This window comes from Homo sapiens, chromosome 4 (genome assembly GCF_000001405.40).
Source record: "Homo sapiens chromosome 4, GRCh38.p14 Primary Assembly".
In the NCBI taxonomy this organism is placed as follows: domain Eukaryota; kingdom Metazoa; phylum Chordata; class Mammalia; order Primates; family Hominidae; genus Homo; species Homo sapiens.
Genome location: NC_000004.12, coordinates 43,295,519 through 43,311,382, shown reverse-complemented (window position 1 = coordinate 43,311,382; position 15,864 = coordinate 43,295,519). Strand labels below are relative to the sequence as shown.

Sequence of the window (15,864 nt, the reverse complement as noted above, 5' to 3'; positions counted from 1 at the left end):
AGGGCAAGTAAGTGGTAGAGCTGGATGGACGAGTCTCAAAAAAGCAGAGATTTGCATAAGATGAGCCTTGGAAATCTGGTAAGAGTTTAGTTGGTAGAGATAATCAGGCAGACAAAGAAGCATATAAATTAGAAGAAAGAAATGGATCAAAATTACAGACGTGCGTAAGATGCAGAAATGTGAACTAACCCATTCTGGATGAATCATAGAATATGAATAGGAAAAACTGGAGGGGGGTAACATTCATGCAGTTCATTCCCCTGTTTTGCTGGGCTTTTAGTGCCAATGTAAGGAATATTGACTTGGAAATGGAAAGTCTGAATGATTTTGAGAAAGATAGCAATGTGATGAGGATAAAATAAATTGCCTTAAGTGTAATTTGGAAGGAAGATTAGTTAGAATAATTACAGAAGAGACAATACACAGAAAGAACCTTGATGAACTTGCAGAAATCAGACAGATGTTAAAGGGAGAGGATTCCACACTGAGAGAACAGCATGTACAAAGGCACAGGGATGAGAATTATGACATTGAATTAGGGCAGGAATTTTCAAGCTTGGTACTAATGATATTTTGGATCAGATAATTATTTGTTCTGTGCTGTTCATTTTGGGATGTTTGCAGTATCTCTGGCCTCTACCAAATAGATGCCAGTAGTACTCCCTTTTCAAGTTACAACAACAACAAAAAAAAATGGCTCTAAACATTACCTGTGTTCCCTGTGGGTAGAGAGTGGGGAAAATACCCTGTGGGTAGAGAGTGGGGAAAATAGCCTGTGGTCAAAATAGCCACTGAATTAGAGGAAATGCACATACTTAATGGAACCACAAAAGAAATTCTAGCAATGGATTGACTAGAAATAGAGCTAGAAAAATAGAGATAGATAAAATATTTTAGCTTGCTTTGTTGAATATGTCTTATTTTATCCTGGTGATTAGAAGAAAAGCAAGAAGATTTGTATTTTAGAAAGATTACATTGAAGTTGTGAAGGAGCAGTCTGTTGTCGGGGAGGCTGGTTAGAGGAAATTCCAGGAGTCCAGTTATGGTAGTGTCACTGAATATTTAAAGGGAGGAACTGGAGAAATAAAGGAGGTTGAGGAGATTGAAATAATAAAATATGGGCACCTGGAGCATTTGTGTAAGAAAAAAATGGAGGAGTCAAGGATAATTCTGATTTCTAGCTTGGGTAACTGAGTGGATGAAAGTACCATGTACAAAGTGTGTTCTGCTGGACTGATAAGGAATAAGGAATAAAATGATGAATTCATTTTTGGTTAGGTTTAATCAGATTAAACCAAATACAGCTGACCAATAGGCGAATAGATCCATATATGTTTGTCTTGAATATGCAGACTTAGAAACCAACAGTATCAAGAAGTGTTTATAATTAATCAAGATGAGGGCAAGGTACAAAGCTTAGAGAGAAATATTACTGAAGGAGCAAGTGGAAGAAGAAAACCTGGCAAAAGTGTTTCAAAATGAGTGCTCTACAAGACTATAGGAAAAAGTCAAGGGAAGTGATAATTTCAAGAATATTGACATAGGAGGCTGAGTTGGGAAGACCACTTGAAGCCAGGAGTTCAAGACTAGCCTGGACAACAAAGTGAGACTCCCATTTCTACAAAAAACAAAAAATTATTATTCAAGTATAGTGGCATATGCCTATAGTCCCAGCTCCTTGGGAGGAGCAGGAGGATCCCTTGAGCCCAAGAGTTCAAGGCTGCAGTGAACTATGATCACAACACTGCATTGAAACCTTGGCAACCAAGCAAGCCTCTGTCTCTAAAATAAATAAATAAATACATACATAAATACATAAATAAATATTGATGTAATAATATTTTCAAATAATCAGTAAGACAAGTATCACAAAGGTAGGATTTTGCAGCAAAGCCATTGGTGACCTTGACAAAGTTATTTTACTGAGAGAGGCAAACAGAGGGAATTAAAAGTGAGATTAGGAAAATGGAGTGTAGACTATTATTTCCACATGCATATATTTGAAAGCTAAAATGAAAGAGAATGAGTAAAAGAAAATGTGGACAACTAAAGAAAGGGTAATAAGTATTTATAAGAAAGTGGAAGACAGAGTATAAGGGAAGAAATTTGTCTGGTCAGATGAGGGGCATCTGTACCTCTAGGACAAGGAAGGAGGGGACATAAAAATATGCAGAGGCTGGGTGCAGTGGCTCACGCCTATAATCCCAGCACTTTGGGAGGCCGAGGTGGGTGGATCACCTGAGATCAGGAGTTCCAGATCAGCCCGGCCAACATGGTGAAACTCCGTATCTACTAAAAATACAAAAATTAGCCGGGTATTGTGGCACGTGCCTGTAATCCCCGCTACTCAGGAAGTTGAGGCAGGAGAATCACTTGAACCTCGGAGGCAGAGCTTGCAGTGAGCCGAGATCGCGCCACTGCACTCCAGCCTGGGTGACAAGAGCAAGACTCCACCTCAAAAAAAAAAAAAAAAAAAAAAAAAGCGGATAACCAGGAGAGGGACTTGAAAATCGAATAATTTTACACCTTCAATTTGATTTTATTTTACTCGTTTAGTTTTATTTTTCTGTAAAGGAAGACACTAGATAATCTTCTAAAAGTAATAGTAAATGTAGATTATATAAGGAACACAATAAAACATGGTTTTGAAATTATTCTGGAAAATAAGAAAGAAAATTGTTTTAGCACAGTAAATACAGACTCAAGCTTTGTTGAACATTGAGAGCTGATATAAATTTGTTGACAATGAAGTCACAGTGACATTATTTCGTGTAGTTAAATGAATTTTATCAGTGTTTCCCAACATTTCTGACATAGAAACAGAAAAGACAACCAGTTGGATTGATAAAGTTGTCTTTTTGTTTGTTTTTCCTGTAAAGTACGAACAAAGGGAAGGGGATAAAACAGTTGACTCTAGTGAGAAATTGCTTGATTAGATAGTTCTTGGAAGAAAGGCTAGATTGTAAAGCAATATAAGAAGAAAAAATACAAAAAAAAGAGTAGATATATTGGGAAAAAGTGAATCTCTAAAATTACTGGATTTCTTGACTCCTGAAAGACTAGGAAAATTCAAGTGCTGTGAATCATCCTGGTGGATATTCTCCCAAAAATATATGCCTGGAATACAGGAAAGACAAAAAGTTGTTGACATAAGAATTATCTACATATTTTTAATAATTAATGTTTTATGGGTGGATAAAATTATGAAAGAGAATGAGAAAGCACAAACCAGCGAAGGTTAATGTTAAGGGGAAATGCCTGTTAATTTCAAATGACAAAAATACAAATGACACAGAATAAATCTTTTTTTCATTAACATTTTGGATCTTGGTCTTTTGTTCCAGATGCAATATAAGATATAGAGCTGCAAAATTAAAGAATGGGGTAAGAGGAAGAAAAAGAACTAGCAGAAGAAGAGAAGAAACTAGCAGGGGAAGCAACATAATTCTATTTTACGAAAGGGGAAAACAGGTATTTCTCAGAGGTGGAATTAGCAAACAATACTGAAGAAGTTATTTGTGCTGTTCACGAACATTTTGTTCTCTACTCTTGGGCACATGGTAAGATAGTACTTACCGCCCCCCTCCCTTTAATTCAAGAAAAGTCAACTAACTTACTTTAGCTAATAAAATGTGAAAAGAAGTAATGTGTCACTTCCAGGTGGAACCTTTAAATGCAGGAACATGCTATACTCAATGACAATATTCCAGAAAAAAATCTGTTCTATCAGTCAGAGTCCAGAAGTGAGAACGGCATAGATAGATCAGATATCCCAGCTGGCCCCCACTGGACACGGAGTGTGAAAATTATGCCTTTGTTTTGTTTAAACCGTTGAGATTTTGTGTTGTTTGTTATGCAGCACAGCCTAGTCTAGCCTAAATATAATAAACGAAATGCAAGCAAGGGGTCGAGAAGGATGAGAGAAATAAAAAAGTCCTAGGATACGATATCTATGCCAACATTTTTTTCAGTGATACCTATTACTTGTCAAAACTAAGACAAACTTCATATCAAGGGCTTTATATTTCCACCTTCCTTTGGTATTTAAATTTTTGTATTATATTACTTATAATTTATAATACAAAATATAAATTTTGTATTATATTACTTCTCGAAGTTTATCTAGTCTCAAGTTTGATAGTAAAATACTTTGCTATTGCTGAAAGTTTTCCTCCTTTTATCCTCTAACGTATTGTGGTTGCTGTAATTTATGGCAGCTGAAATGAAGTATGTTGACATAGAGAAACTCTTCAAATTTGGAAACTACTCTATAAATGGAATAAATTTACAAGAGAATAAGTAGCTCACCAATGAATATGTTCAAGGTGAAGCTTGATGACCTTTTATGAGTAGGAATACTACTATTTAATAAACAGCTATCGTGTGTTAGATAACATATTGGGTGCTTTATTGATGCCATTTTATTTTACATGCATGGTAGTCTTGAGGAATAGATATAATTAATTTTACTACTGTGAAAGTTTACATAAATTATCTAATGTCAAATAGCTAGTAAGTGGCTGAGCCTGGATTCAACCCTAATATGGATAGTACCAAAACATGTATTCTTGTGTCAGAAAAAGGAAGTATGGGCTGAATGTTCATTTTAGTTCTTACAATCAATATTTCTTTTTTATTTGTCCACATTCATGTCACTGTAGAAGACCATTCTTTGATTTTGCAGCTCAATATTGTATATAGAATCTGGAACAAGATACCAACACCCAACATGTTTTTACAGTAAAATTTCTGTTGTCATTTCCATTTTGAGCCCTTTTCTTAGGAAAAAAAATAACATGAGTTTTTATTTTTTGTTCAAGTTAAAATAATAACTTTCTTTTATAACCTGAATGAAAAACAGTACCAGAAATTCTTCTGCACACTGTGGGTTTGAGTGATCTAGAATTTCACCATAGGTGTCTCTCAAATGAGATTAACTACTTGCAGATAATAATGAAGGCACTGTCGAAATAATTTAAATGATTGAATGAAGGATTTGAGAAAGTCATTGTAAGGCATGTAATTTTCTTTTTCTCTTCTCGGATGCATGAATATAATTCCTTGAATATAAAAGGAGAGGAAAAAAGTATAGTACCTTGAAATTTCCCATATGAAACTTGGTACTATTTCAATGGCAAAAATACCCTGCAGCAAACACTTTTTTCACACAGCCTCCTTCTTGTCATGTTATTTTTGGAAGGTAATGATTTATTAGAAAATGTCTACAGTATGGAGCCTAAATAAATCAAGTTAGCTGGACGTTAAGGAGCTATAATAGTCAAATATAAAGGTAAACTCATAAACTTTTGTCATCATCGTTTCAGCCTAACCCAGGGATTCTCAAAGTGTTGTCCCTGCACCAGCAGCATTAGCAGCAACTGGGAACTCATCAGAAATGCAAAATTGTGCGTTCCTAACCCAGACTGCTTGATTCAAATCTCTAGGGATAGAGTCCGGCAACCTGTGTTTTAACAAGCCCTCCAGCAGATGCTGATACAGCTAAATATTTTTTGTTGTTAATTTTTGTGGATACTATATATATGTGTACATATATAAAATATAGTATGTATAGTATATATATTGAGTATATATAGTATATATATGAAATATAGAGAGTATATAGAGAGTATATATATTCAAGATGTATATTAATTATATCTACTCCTTAATTAATTAATTAATATCAATATATTAATTATAGCTACTCCTCAAGACTGCCATGCATGTAAAATAAAATGGCATATATATTTTTTTTCAAGCATTTATACTTTGGATTACAAACCATTCAATTATATTTTTAAGTTATTTTAAAATTTACAATTAAATTACTTTGACTATAGTCACTTTGTTGTGCTATCAAATACTAGGTATTATTTATTCTTTCAAAGTGTTTTTGTACCCATTAACCACCCCCACTTCCACCCCACCTCCCAATACCCTTCCCACCTTCTGGTAACCATCCTTCTATTCTCTAGCTCCATGTGTTTAATTATTTTGAAGTTTATATCCCACAAATAAGTGAGAATATGTGACGCTTGTCTTTCTGTACCTGACTTATTTTGCTTAACATGATAACCTCTAGTTCCATCCATACTGTTGCAAATAACAAGACCTCATTCTGTTTTATAGCTGAATAGTACCTTATTGTGCATAAGTCCATATTTTTTATCCATTTATCTGTTGATGGACACTTAGGTTGCTTCAAAACCTTGGCTCTTGTGAAGAGTGCTGCAATAAACGTGGGAGTACAGATAGTTTTTCCATATTCTGATTTCCCTTCTTTGGGGTATATACACACCAGTGGGATTGATATGGTAGTTCTATTTTTAGTTTTTGCAGAGCCTCCAAACTGTCCTCAATAGTACAATTATTAAGGCACAGAGTATTTTTTCTTGTAACGCCATTTCTGTATTCTTCTGCTTTTTGGAGGAAGTAATAAGCTGCTGGGCGAACAGTAAGTACAATAAATACCCTGATACACTTCAGCTCATCTGTTGGATAAAGTATATCAACTTACCAGGATTGTTTTATTTGAATTTATTGTCTATAAGGATGAAAAGCCTTATAATAAAGGTGGATAAATGGATCCCATTGGCATATAAATAACTGCTCAATCAAGAAAGCTATGGAAAAATAAGTTTGTTTTCCACCATCTGGTGCATCAGAGAATATTATCAAGGCAGCACTAGGTGGTGGTGGGAAAATATTCATTTCATTTCCATCCTTGAGAAAACAGTAGCATTTGGAAAACACATTATCTTTGTTGGGCCATCTAGCTAAATACTAGGCAACCTAAAAGGTTTTATATTTCTAATGTTTTTCCACTTTAGTGATTCCCATTGTGTTATAGGTGGGGAAAGTGCCAGACTGGTAAACCTGCCATCTAAAATGTCCTGTTTTTCTATATATCAGAAACAGCACCATCATAAATAGAGCTGAAAACTCCAGTGCTGGGGTCTAGACTGGTAGAAAGTGACTGAACGAAGCTTGAGTAGGGTCAGTTACATTCTCAGAGAACTGAGAGAGCTAGCACCCCAAAACTTAAACCACATTAACCTCCATATCACTTAAATCATCTTACATAAAGTTCTCAAATTTAAGTACTCATACCTTGATTAATCCATTTTTCTTATATAATTTATTCATTCCAAACATTTTAATTTAGCACTTCTAAGTCTCAGGCATTTTGAAATCTCATCATGTTTATGATTTTTTTTCTTGCTGAACAAATCTGTTTCCTTCACCAGACTCTGTTCCTTATAGACATTGTTTCTTATAGTTTCATTGGCATAGAATCAAGTTTTCAAACACATTACAATTTAATGTTTTAACTTGTTCTATTTTATGTACTTTTAGGCCTCATTCTGATGAATGTAAAAAACTTAATGAAATCATTTTTACGTAAAATCTTGAATGGAGGGTCAAGATGGGGAAGGAAACATGCTTGTTCATGTCTCAAATTAATAGCTCACATTTGGAAACTATCTACATCCAATTATTCCAGACTTTTCCAGTTTTGTTTTCAAATGCTTATGGTGACCAGCATCTTAGGTAGTAGAGAGTCCACTGAATGAAAAATTGCTGTAAAGGCAGAGGTTCTAGTCTAAAATCTGGTGTTAATGATGTAAAATATTTCACTTTATTTCAGTTTCCACAAGTACAAAACACTTCAATAGATCTGATAAAATCTATGTTTCCCTCATTTCTAAAGGTATATGAATGTATATTTTCCAAATCCTTTGAAAGTTCTTTTATATGCTTATAAATTAAATTCAACTCTGGGAAACAGAAGAAAAATATGTCAGCAAAAGCCTTACAAGTGGCCATACAACTAACAACTTACATTAATTAAGGATTTACCAGGAGCCAGGCTCTGTGCTAAGCACTTTATATAGATTATCTTGCTTTCTAATCACAAAAGCTCTATCTTTATTTCACATGTGAGAAAATTGAGGCTCAAAGAAATTAACTGTTTCTTGTTTCATAGCTGCTAAGAGGTAGTGCTATGGTTTGAAACCAATCAGTTTTCAGATCTTATACTATAAATCACACTCTACACCTGTTTTGTGCCATCTAAAAATATTTTTTCAAATATATTCAAGTCTGTGTTATAACATTTTTTATGCATATTGCTGTAATTTTTATTATGTAATCTCTAAAGTAAGGTAAGACCCTACAAAAATTATGGTTGTTTCAATCTGCTGGCTTATGAATGAGCTTTTCAAACAGTAAGTTACCTACTCATTAAGTAGTTTATCTAGTATTCAATGGTGCCTGATATTTCCGGAGACTGACTTTTGGTCTTGAAGAATAATCTATTGAATCAGGTAACACAGATATAATTCAAAATGTAAACTCACAGAGGCTAGTTCCAGAATCTATTTTGTGCCTTACAATGGGGCACATTTCAATGTTACTTAATAATTGTAGGGCTAGAGCCAAAAGACAATAGGATGATATTATCCAAATACTAGAGAAAATAGCTATCATATTGGCAAAATGAAAAAATATCCTGTGTTTGTGGATTGAAAAAAAAATTATTAAAATGTCCATACTACTCAAAGCAATCTACAGATTCAATGAAATCTCTATAAAAATTCCAAAGTTAATTTTTACAGAAATAAAAAAAATCCCAAAATTTATATGGAAACACAAAAGACCTCAAATAGTCTAATTTTTAGCCAAAAGAACAAGGCTGGAGGCATCACACTACCTGAATTCAAAATATATTACAAAGCTATAGTAATAAAAATAGTATGATACTGGAATAAGAACAGTACAATTCTGGAATAAAAACAGAAATACGGGCCAACAGAACAGAATAAAGAGCCCCAAAATAAATTCATACATTTACAGTCAACTAATCTTCAACAAAGGTACAAAGAGCACACAATGGAGAAAGGATCAATGGAGAAAGGATAGTCTCTTCAATAATTAGTGTTAGGAAAATGGAATATCCACAGGCAGACAAATGAAATTGGACTTTTATCTCACACCATAAACAAATACAAATGCAAGATGAATTAAAGACTTGAATGTAAGACATAAAATTATAAAACTACTATAAGAGAAAAGCTTCTTGACATTAATTTGCGCAATGATTTTTTGGATATGACATAAAAAGTATAGGCAGCAAAAGCAGAAATAGAAAAATGGATTACATCAAACTATAAAGTTCCTTCACAGCAAAGAAAGTAACCAATAGAGTGAAGAGATAACCTGGAAAATGGGAAAAAATATTTGCAAACCATGTATCTGATAAGGGGTTAGAAAACAAAATCTATAAGGAACTCAAACAACCCAACAACAAGAAAACAAATATTCTGATTAAAATTGGGCAAAGGACCTGAATAGACATTTCTCAAAAGAAGACATACAAATAAATGGTGAATAGGTATATGAAAAAAATATGTCCAACATCACTAACAATGAAGGAATATAAATTAAAACCACAATTAATATCACCTTACACCTGTTAAGATGACTGTTATCAAAAATACAAAAGATAAATGTTGGTGTGGGTGTGGAGAAAAGGGAAGGCTTACATAATGTTGGTGGGAATGTAAATGGGTACAGCCATATGGAAAATATGGAGAATCCCTCAATAAATTAAAAATAGAACTACTATATGTTCCAGTAATCCCACTTCTGGATATATATGTAAAGAAAATTGAATCAGTATCTAAAGAGATAGCTGTACTCTCATGTTCAGTGCAGCATTATTCACAATAGCCAAGATGCCAAGATATGGAAACAGCCAATTGTCCATTGATGGATGAATGGTTAAAGAAAATGTGGCATATATCATAATGACTATGGTTAATACTGTACTGTATACTTGAAATCTACTAAGAGAATAATAGATCTTAAATGTTCTCACCACACACACACAAACACACACACACACACACACACACACACACATATAAATGGTAACTATGTCAGATTATGGATATGTTAGGTTGATTGTGGTTATCATTTCACCAAGTATACATATATCAGAGCACCATGATGTAAACTGTAAATATATATATTTTTGTTTGTCATAAACTGTAAATATATATACATATTTATTTGTCGAAGTGTATAAATAATGCCAACAAATAAAACATCAGCACAATAGTAGAAAAGGAACAAAACTCAGAGTTGAAGTTCATTTCAACATTTCAGAGTTGAGGAAATACATATGTCTGATAAATATGTATGAAATATTCAGTATCATTAGTGACCACACGATGCAGTTTGGTTATGTCCTCACCCAAATCTCATCTTGAATTGTAACTCCCATGATTCCCACGTTTCATGAGAGGGAACAAGTGGGACATAATTGAATCATGGGGGGCAGGTCTTTCTCATGCTGTTCTCCTGATAGTGAATAAATCTCACAAGATCTGATGATTTTATAAAGAGGAGTTCCTCTGCACAAGCTCTCTCTCTTTGCCTGCCACCATCATGAAGGATGTGACTTGCTCCTCCTTGTCTTCCATCATGATTGTGAGGCCTCCCCAGCCATGTGGAACTGTAAGTCCATTAAACCAGTTTTTCTTCCCAGTTTTGGATATGTCTTTATTAGGAGCATGAAAACTGATTAACACAGCAGGGAAATAAAAATCAAGAAATAATAGATACTATATTACTTCTATTTCACTGGCAAATATTTCAGTGGTAAACAATAACAATTCTCAGGACAAAGTGAATGCAAAATAGCTCTTCTACATTCCTGGTGCTGGTGCCCTTTCACTTGTTAGTATATATGCAAAAGAAACACTTGTGCAAGCAAAACAGAATCCACATAAAATAATTTTCATAGTAACTGATCACAATAACTGTCCCTTCAAAACAATTTAAATTATCTATGGTGCAGTGATATAAAGGAATATTTTAAAAACAGTCAAAACTTATCTACATGGAAAAAAATTTAAAAAGTGAAAATGAGTCTAAAATATGATGCCCTATTAATGAAATTAAAAATAAATAAAGCAAAATCATGCTTTTTTAGAATACATATAAATTCAGCTAAACCACAGAAAAAGAAAGAGTGAATGAGGAACACAAGCTTCATAATACTGGCTAAGTCTTTCAGGGAAAGTCAGGACAATGAGTTGCTAGAGAAAATCATATTTACACACAGGTTATTGTTGTTATTGAGTTCCCAATTTTTGTTTTTGGTTAGGTACACAGGTACTTCTTATAATGTTAAAAACGACTAGTTAAATAGCTAAATAAAAGCAAACCGTAAATGGATTAGTGATGCGAGTCTGTTAAAAAGAAAATTATTGTAACGAAAAACAAAGAAAGGTAAGAGGATAAAGTGTGAGGTGTGGGTACTTATCTTACATAGAGGATCACAAAAAGCCATTTTCCAATATGTTGCAGATAAAAAGAAGTTTCTCATAGATCAACCTATTCACATTCCTCTTTGTTCAAAACTCCAAAGCCTCCTCCTTTCTCACAGAAGAAAAGTAATCTAAATTCTTAGAATGTTAACACAAGGCCTTTTACGAACTGACTTCTGCCTTTGTATACAGACTCATGACCTTTGATAATCATTCTACTTGAGTTTGCATTTCATACCCCAGAAATTATTGCAATTTCCCTGAACCCATTATGGTCTCTCATGCCACAGACCTTCACTTTCAATCCTTCTGGTAAAAATTCAAATCGTCTTTTTTGGGATGTCTTCTCTGATTTGCCTAGAAGATTCAGAGGCATCTCATTCTGTTCTTCCAGTCATTCACTTTCTAGTTATTTATTAGAAGCCTACTATATGCAGGTACTAGTTTATATTCAATGCAATATTGCAGCAACTTCGATGTTTTTTCAGTATTTGCATGTATGGCTTCTTAGACTCCAAGCTCCTTGATGGCAATGTGGTTCCATCTTTCAACATCTAAGACAATTTCTGTTATATAGTAATTGGTAGATACTATATTGACAATTTCTCTTATATAATAATTGGTCAATACTATATTGACAGTACAATATTTGTTGAATGAAAACTTGAATGAATGAGCAAATGAATGAATGAGTGAATGAATGAATGTCCTCCTAATAATGATCATAGGCTCAGATCAAAGATTTACCCCTATTGACTGAGTTTCCAATTAGTCCTAAGCCCAACAGAATAAACCTAGTGCATACGTCTCTTACAGCGCTTGTATCCATTCTTTATTTAATAAATATTTACTAAGAGGTTATTTTGTTTCAGGCACTGAAAATGCACTCATAGACAAATAGAGTCTCTGCTCCCATGAAGTTTCCATTAATAAACAATCACAGATTGTGCTGCTGCAATGATTAGTTATAGACTTTTTCTATTGGATACTTATGACTCTTAAGGCAAGGATGAACTGTAACTTATCTTTGGACCTACATTTTTCAGAGCCGATTGATACTCAGTTCACCACAATTGGCTACATTCAGATGAACAGACATTTGGTCTGAGCTGACTGGGTAGAACGACTTAATTATGTATATTCGTAGTCCAAATCCTGGGAACTAATAGATAAGAACCACTATCTTATATTTTAGGTATGGTCATCTCTGAGATACAGCACACACATTAATTAAACAAGTAGAAGAACTGTTCACTAGATATTCAATTCTGAGCATCACATTGTATTTTTAACATGTAAATAAAAGCATTGCATACAGACATTTTTAAGACAGAAAGAAACAAGTTTTTAGCATTTAGAATCAGTTTATTACTTAGAATAATTTAAGATTAGTGAAAGAGATCGTGCTTTTCCACACCTGTACAAATTTGGGGAAAATCACTTAAGCTTTTTTCTCTTTATTTGTAAAAAGTGTTATTGATAATGCCTGACGCAACAACCCCATATGAAAACTGTAGTAAGTGGAAAAGAAGAGAAAGAGAAAGCTCTTTAAATCTCAAAAGGGCAATGCAAATAAGGGATTTCACTGAAATACCAGCCCCACCAAGGCAAAAATTTTATTTTTTATTCACTGCTAAATTCCCAGCACCTAGGCCAGTGTGAGACACAGAGCTGGCACTCAATAAATACTTGTGAAATACCTTCATTACATATTGCTGGCATTAATATATCTATTACAGAATTAAATGAAAAAATAATTTTAGTAAACCCAAAATGTTTTCTTGCTAATTGCAGATCTCCAAAATAAACCCTAAAACTGGAAAAGTTTGAGGAGTTTCTAAATTTGAAACAGATTTATTTTGTCAGATTAATCAATGAGTAATTGTACTACATCTATGAAATCAAAATGAAAATTTCTCTGTATAATATTTAAAGTGGGTTGCAACTAAAGATTAATTAAGAGAAAAAAAGCAGGCAATGTTTTGATGATGCCTATTAAAGTTGAGTGTGTGTGTGTGTGTGTGTGTGTGTGTGTGTGTGTGTGTCCTTAGAGAACATCCCTGTTTAATTCAGCAGCTCAAAAGAAGGTTCTCTTTAATCTTAATGCAGTGCATTATGTTTATTGGCATTACTGAGCATTCAAAGCAGCTCAGTGCAATCTGTATTATTAAAACTTCTTAGGCCAGGAGCAGTGGCTCACGCCTGTAACCCCAGCACTTTGGGAGGCAGAGGCGGGTGGATCACGAGGTCAGGAGATCCAGACCATCCTGGCTAACATGGTGAAACCCCGTCTCTACTAAAAATACAAAAAATTAGCCAGGCGTGGTGGCGGGCGCCTGTAGTCCCAGCTACTCGGGAGGCTGAGGCAGGAGAATGGCGTGAACCCGGGAGGCGGAGCTTGCAGTGAGCCGAGATCGCGCCACTGCACTCCAGCCTGGGGGACAGAACGAGACTGTCTCAAAAAAAAAAAAAAAAAAAAAAAAAAAAAACTTTTTGGCCCCTGCTCTGTTTCTGCGATAACTCATTTAGTCTACTCCCCAGAAAATGGATCTAGTTACCTTGTAAGCCTATATCTTATCTTAGTAATATATTCATCTCCTTCTCTTCCTTTCTAAAATGATTATATCATAAGAAAATTCTCAGCTAGCCACACTGGAGTGTCAGTTCTCAACATGTGCTTCAAGATTCTTCTATTTTTTTTTCACCAATTCTCCATGATCTATTACGCAAGAAACCGATCAATGAAATATTTCTTAAAAGACTTATTATGGTTCTCTATATGTCTAAATTTGGGGGGAAAGTAATATTTGAAGGCAGATTCTGCCTCATTATCATGATAGAGTTGTATGAATGGTGTCATTCTCTCAAGGAAAAACCCTGCATAGTATGAGTCATCATATGAATTATTTATCATTCACAAAATAATATATGTTGGCATGCATTGTTAAGACTAAAGTGGTCAAATGGGAAATGTTACTCCAGAGATGGCACATTTAGTCATTCAACAACTCTATTCTTCAAGGGTGCTTATTACAAGTCAATAATTGAAACAAGTGACAGGCTGGGGCCATGGGTCCCCAGGGTTCAGAATTTTATATTCTAATTCGTACTTTTCTTTTTCCAGAGAAAGCAACGTGGCTCCTACTGGAACAGACCCTGGTCTGAAGTCTATAAAGATCTGGCTAAGTAAGATGAATACTGGGGAGTAGCCTTATGTTTCTTTAGCTTAAATAACAACATTCATCGTCTCCACTACCACCTCCTGGTTGCTAATAGCCTCAGCCAATAACAGAATTACATTTTCTGGAAATTTGGTTTTACTGAAACTAACTTGGGCTGTACAGCCTTCTGCTAGATTGTATTTAATGCTTACTGACTTCTTTTTGACCCTTATAAACAAAACCAAACCAATGAAACCTTCAAACATTACCCTGAAATGGTGAGTAGATGACATCCTTACCAAAGGGAAGGAATTCTCTGCAGAGGTGCAGTAGGCATCACATGTACTGAATAGAATCTGTTTTTTCTGCCTCCTACAAAGCAAAGTCAGCATGTGGAAAGTGTATTTATGTGCAGTAATGAGGCTAGGCAAGCATATCCTGAAGGTGCTATCCAATAAATATCAATTATATTTAATAAATAATTAGACCTGGGTAGTGAAAACGGGGCAGAAAAACATAGAACTAGAATCTAATTAGCATAAAAACTAAGGTACTTGATAATTTGAGTAAGCCACTTACTTCATTTATTTGTGTTTGTCTCCTTTATAAAATAAAATAAGACAATGAATAGAGACAGCTTTGGAAAAGAAAACAATAAAAATCCACAAGATTGGAGTTATTAATGGAAGATAAAAAACAACCTCCATGCCTCACTTGCCTTGTGAGTCCTCAGTGCATATGACCACGTGTACTGGGTGTTGTTGATAAAGATGAACCTGAGTCAGTCGTGCATGAATAAATTATATTCAGAATGCACTCATTGAGATGTAATATGTTAAAAAAAATAGCTCATTAGTGTATTTTTCTTTTGCTTGTGTTAATCGATCCTCTGCAGGATTCCTTCATAGATCTTCTCAGAATTTCTTTTCTATTTGCAAAGTTATTTACGTTTGTTGTTTCTCCCATACTTCTCTGTATGGTCTATGAATGTAGGGACGGTGTTGCTTTGCTCATCTGTCAATCTCAATGCCTAGCACAGTTAGTGGATATTACTGTCTAATGTCTTGCTTGTAATCAAAATGAGAAAACAATAATGATATCCTGAGAAGAGGTATTAAACCTCTATTTCTAAGTGATAAGTAATTACCCTAAAGTCTGATAAATATTCAGACATGCATAGTGAAAATACAACAGAAACGATAGAATCAGAATTTCTTTCTAGCTTTGTCACTAACTCACTTCATGCTTTTGACATGACCCTTATTTCACGGTGCTGTTTCTTCATTTGTAGAATAAGTAAGTATTATCTGATATCATATGTAAATAGAAAGGAAGTAGTAGAATTTAAATTGAAAGAAGCTGAGAAA

At 34.3% G+C, this 15,864-nt stretch overlaps 1 long non-coding RNA gene across 1 annotated transcript in view; it reads left to right on the top strand.

Annotated features, from left to right (window-relative positions):
- LOC105374434 (uncharacterized) overlaps window positions 1-14,521 on the top strand; it is a 33,835-nt gene extending 19,314 nt beyond the window's left edge. The window contains exons 2-3 of the long non-coding RNA XR_925268.1: window positions 3,345-3,471; window positions 14,461-14,521. This is a non-coding gene — a long non-coding RNA (uncharacterized LOC105374434). The remainder of the gene's footprint in view (window positions 1-3,344; window positions 3,472-14,460) is intronic.
- The last annotated feature ends 1,343 nt before the right edge of the window (window positions 14,522-15,864 follow it).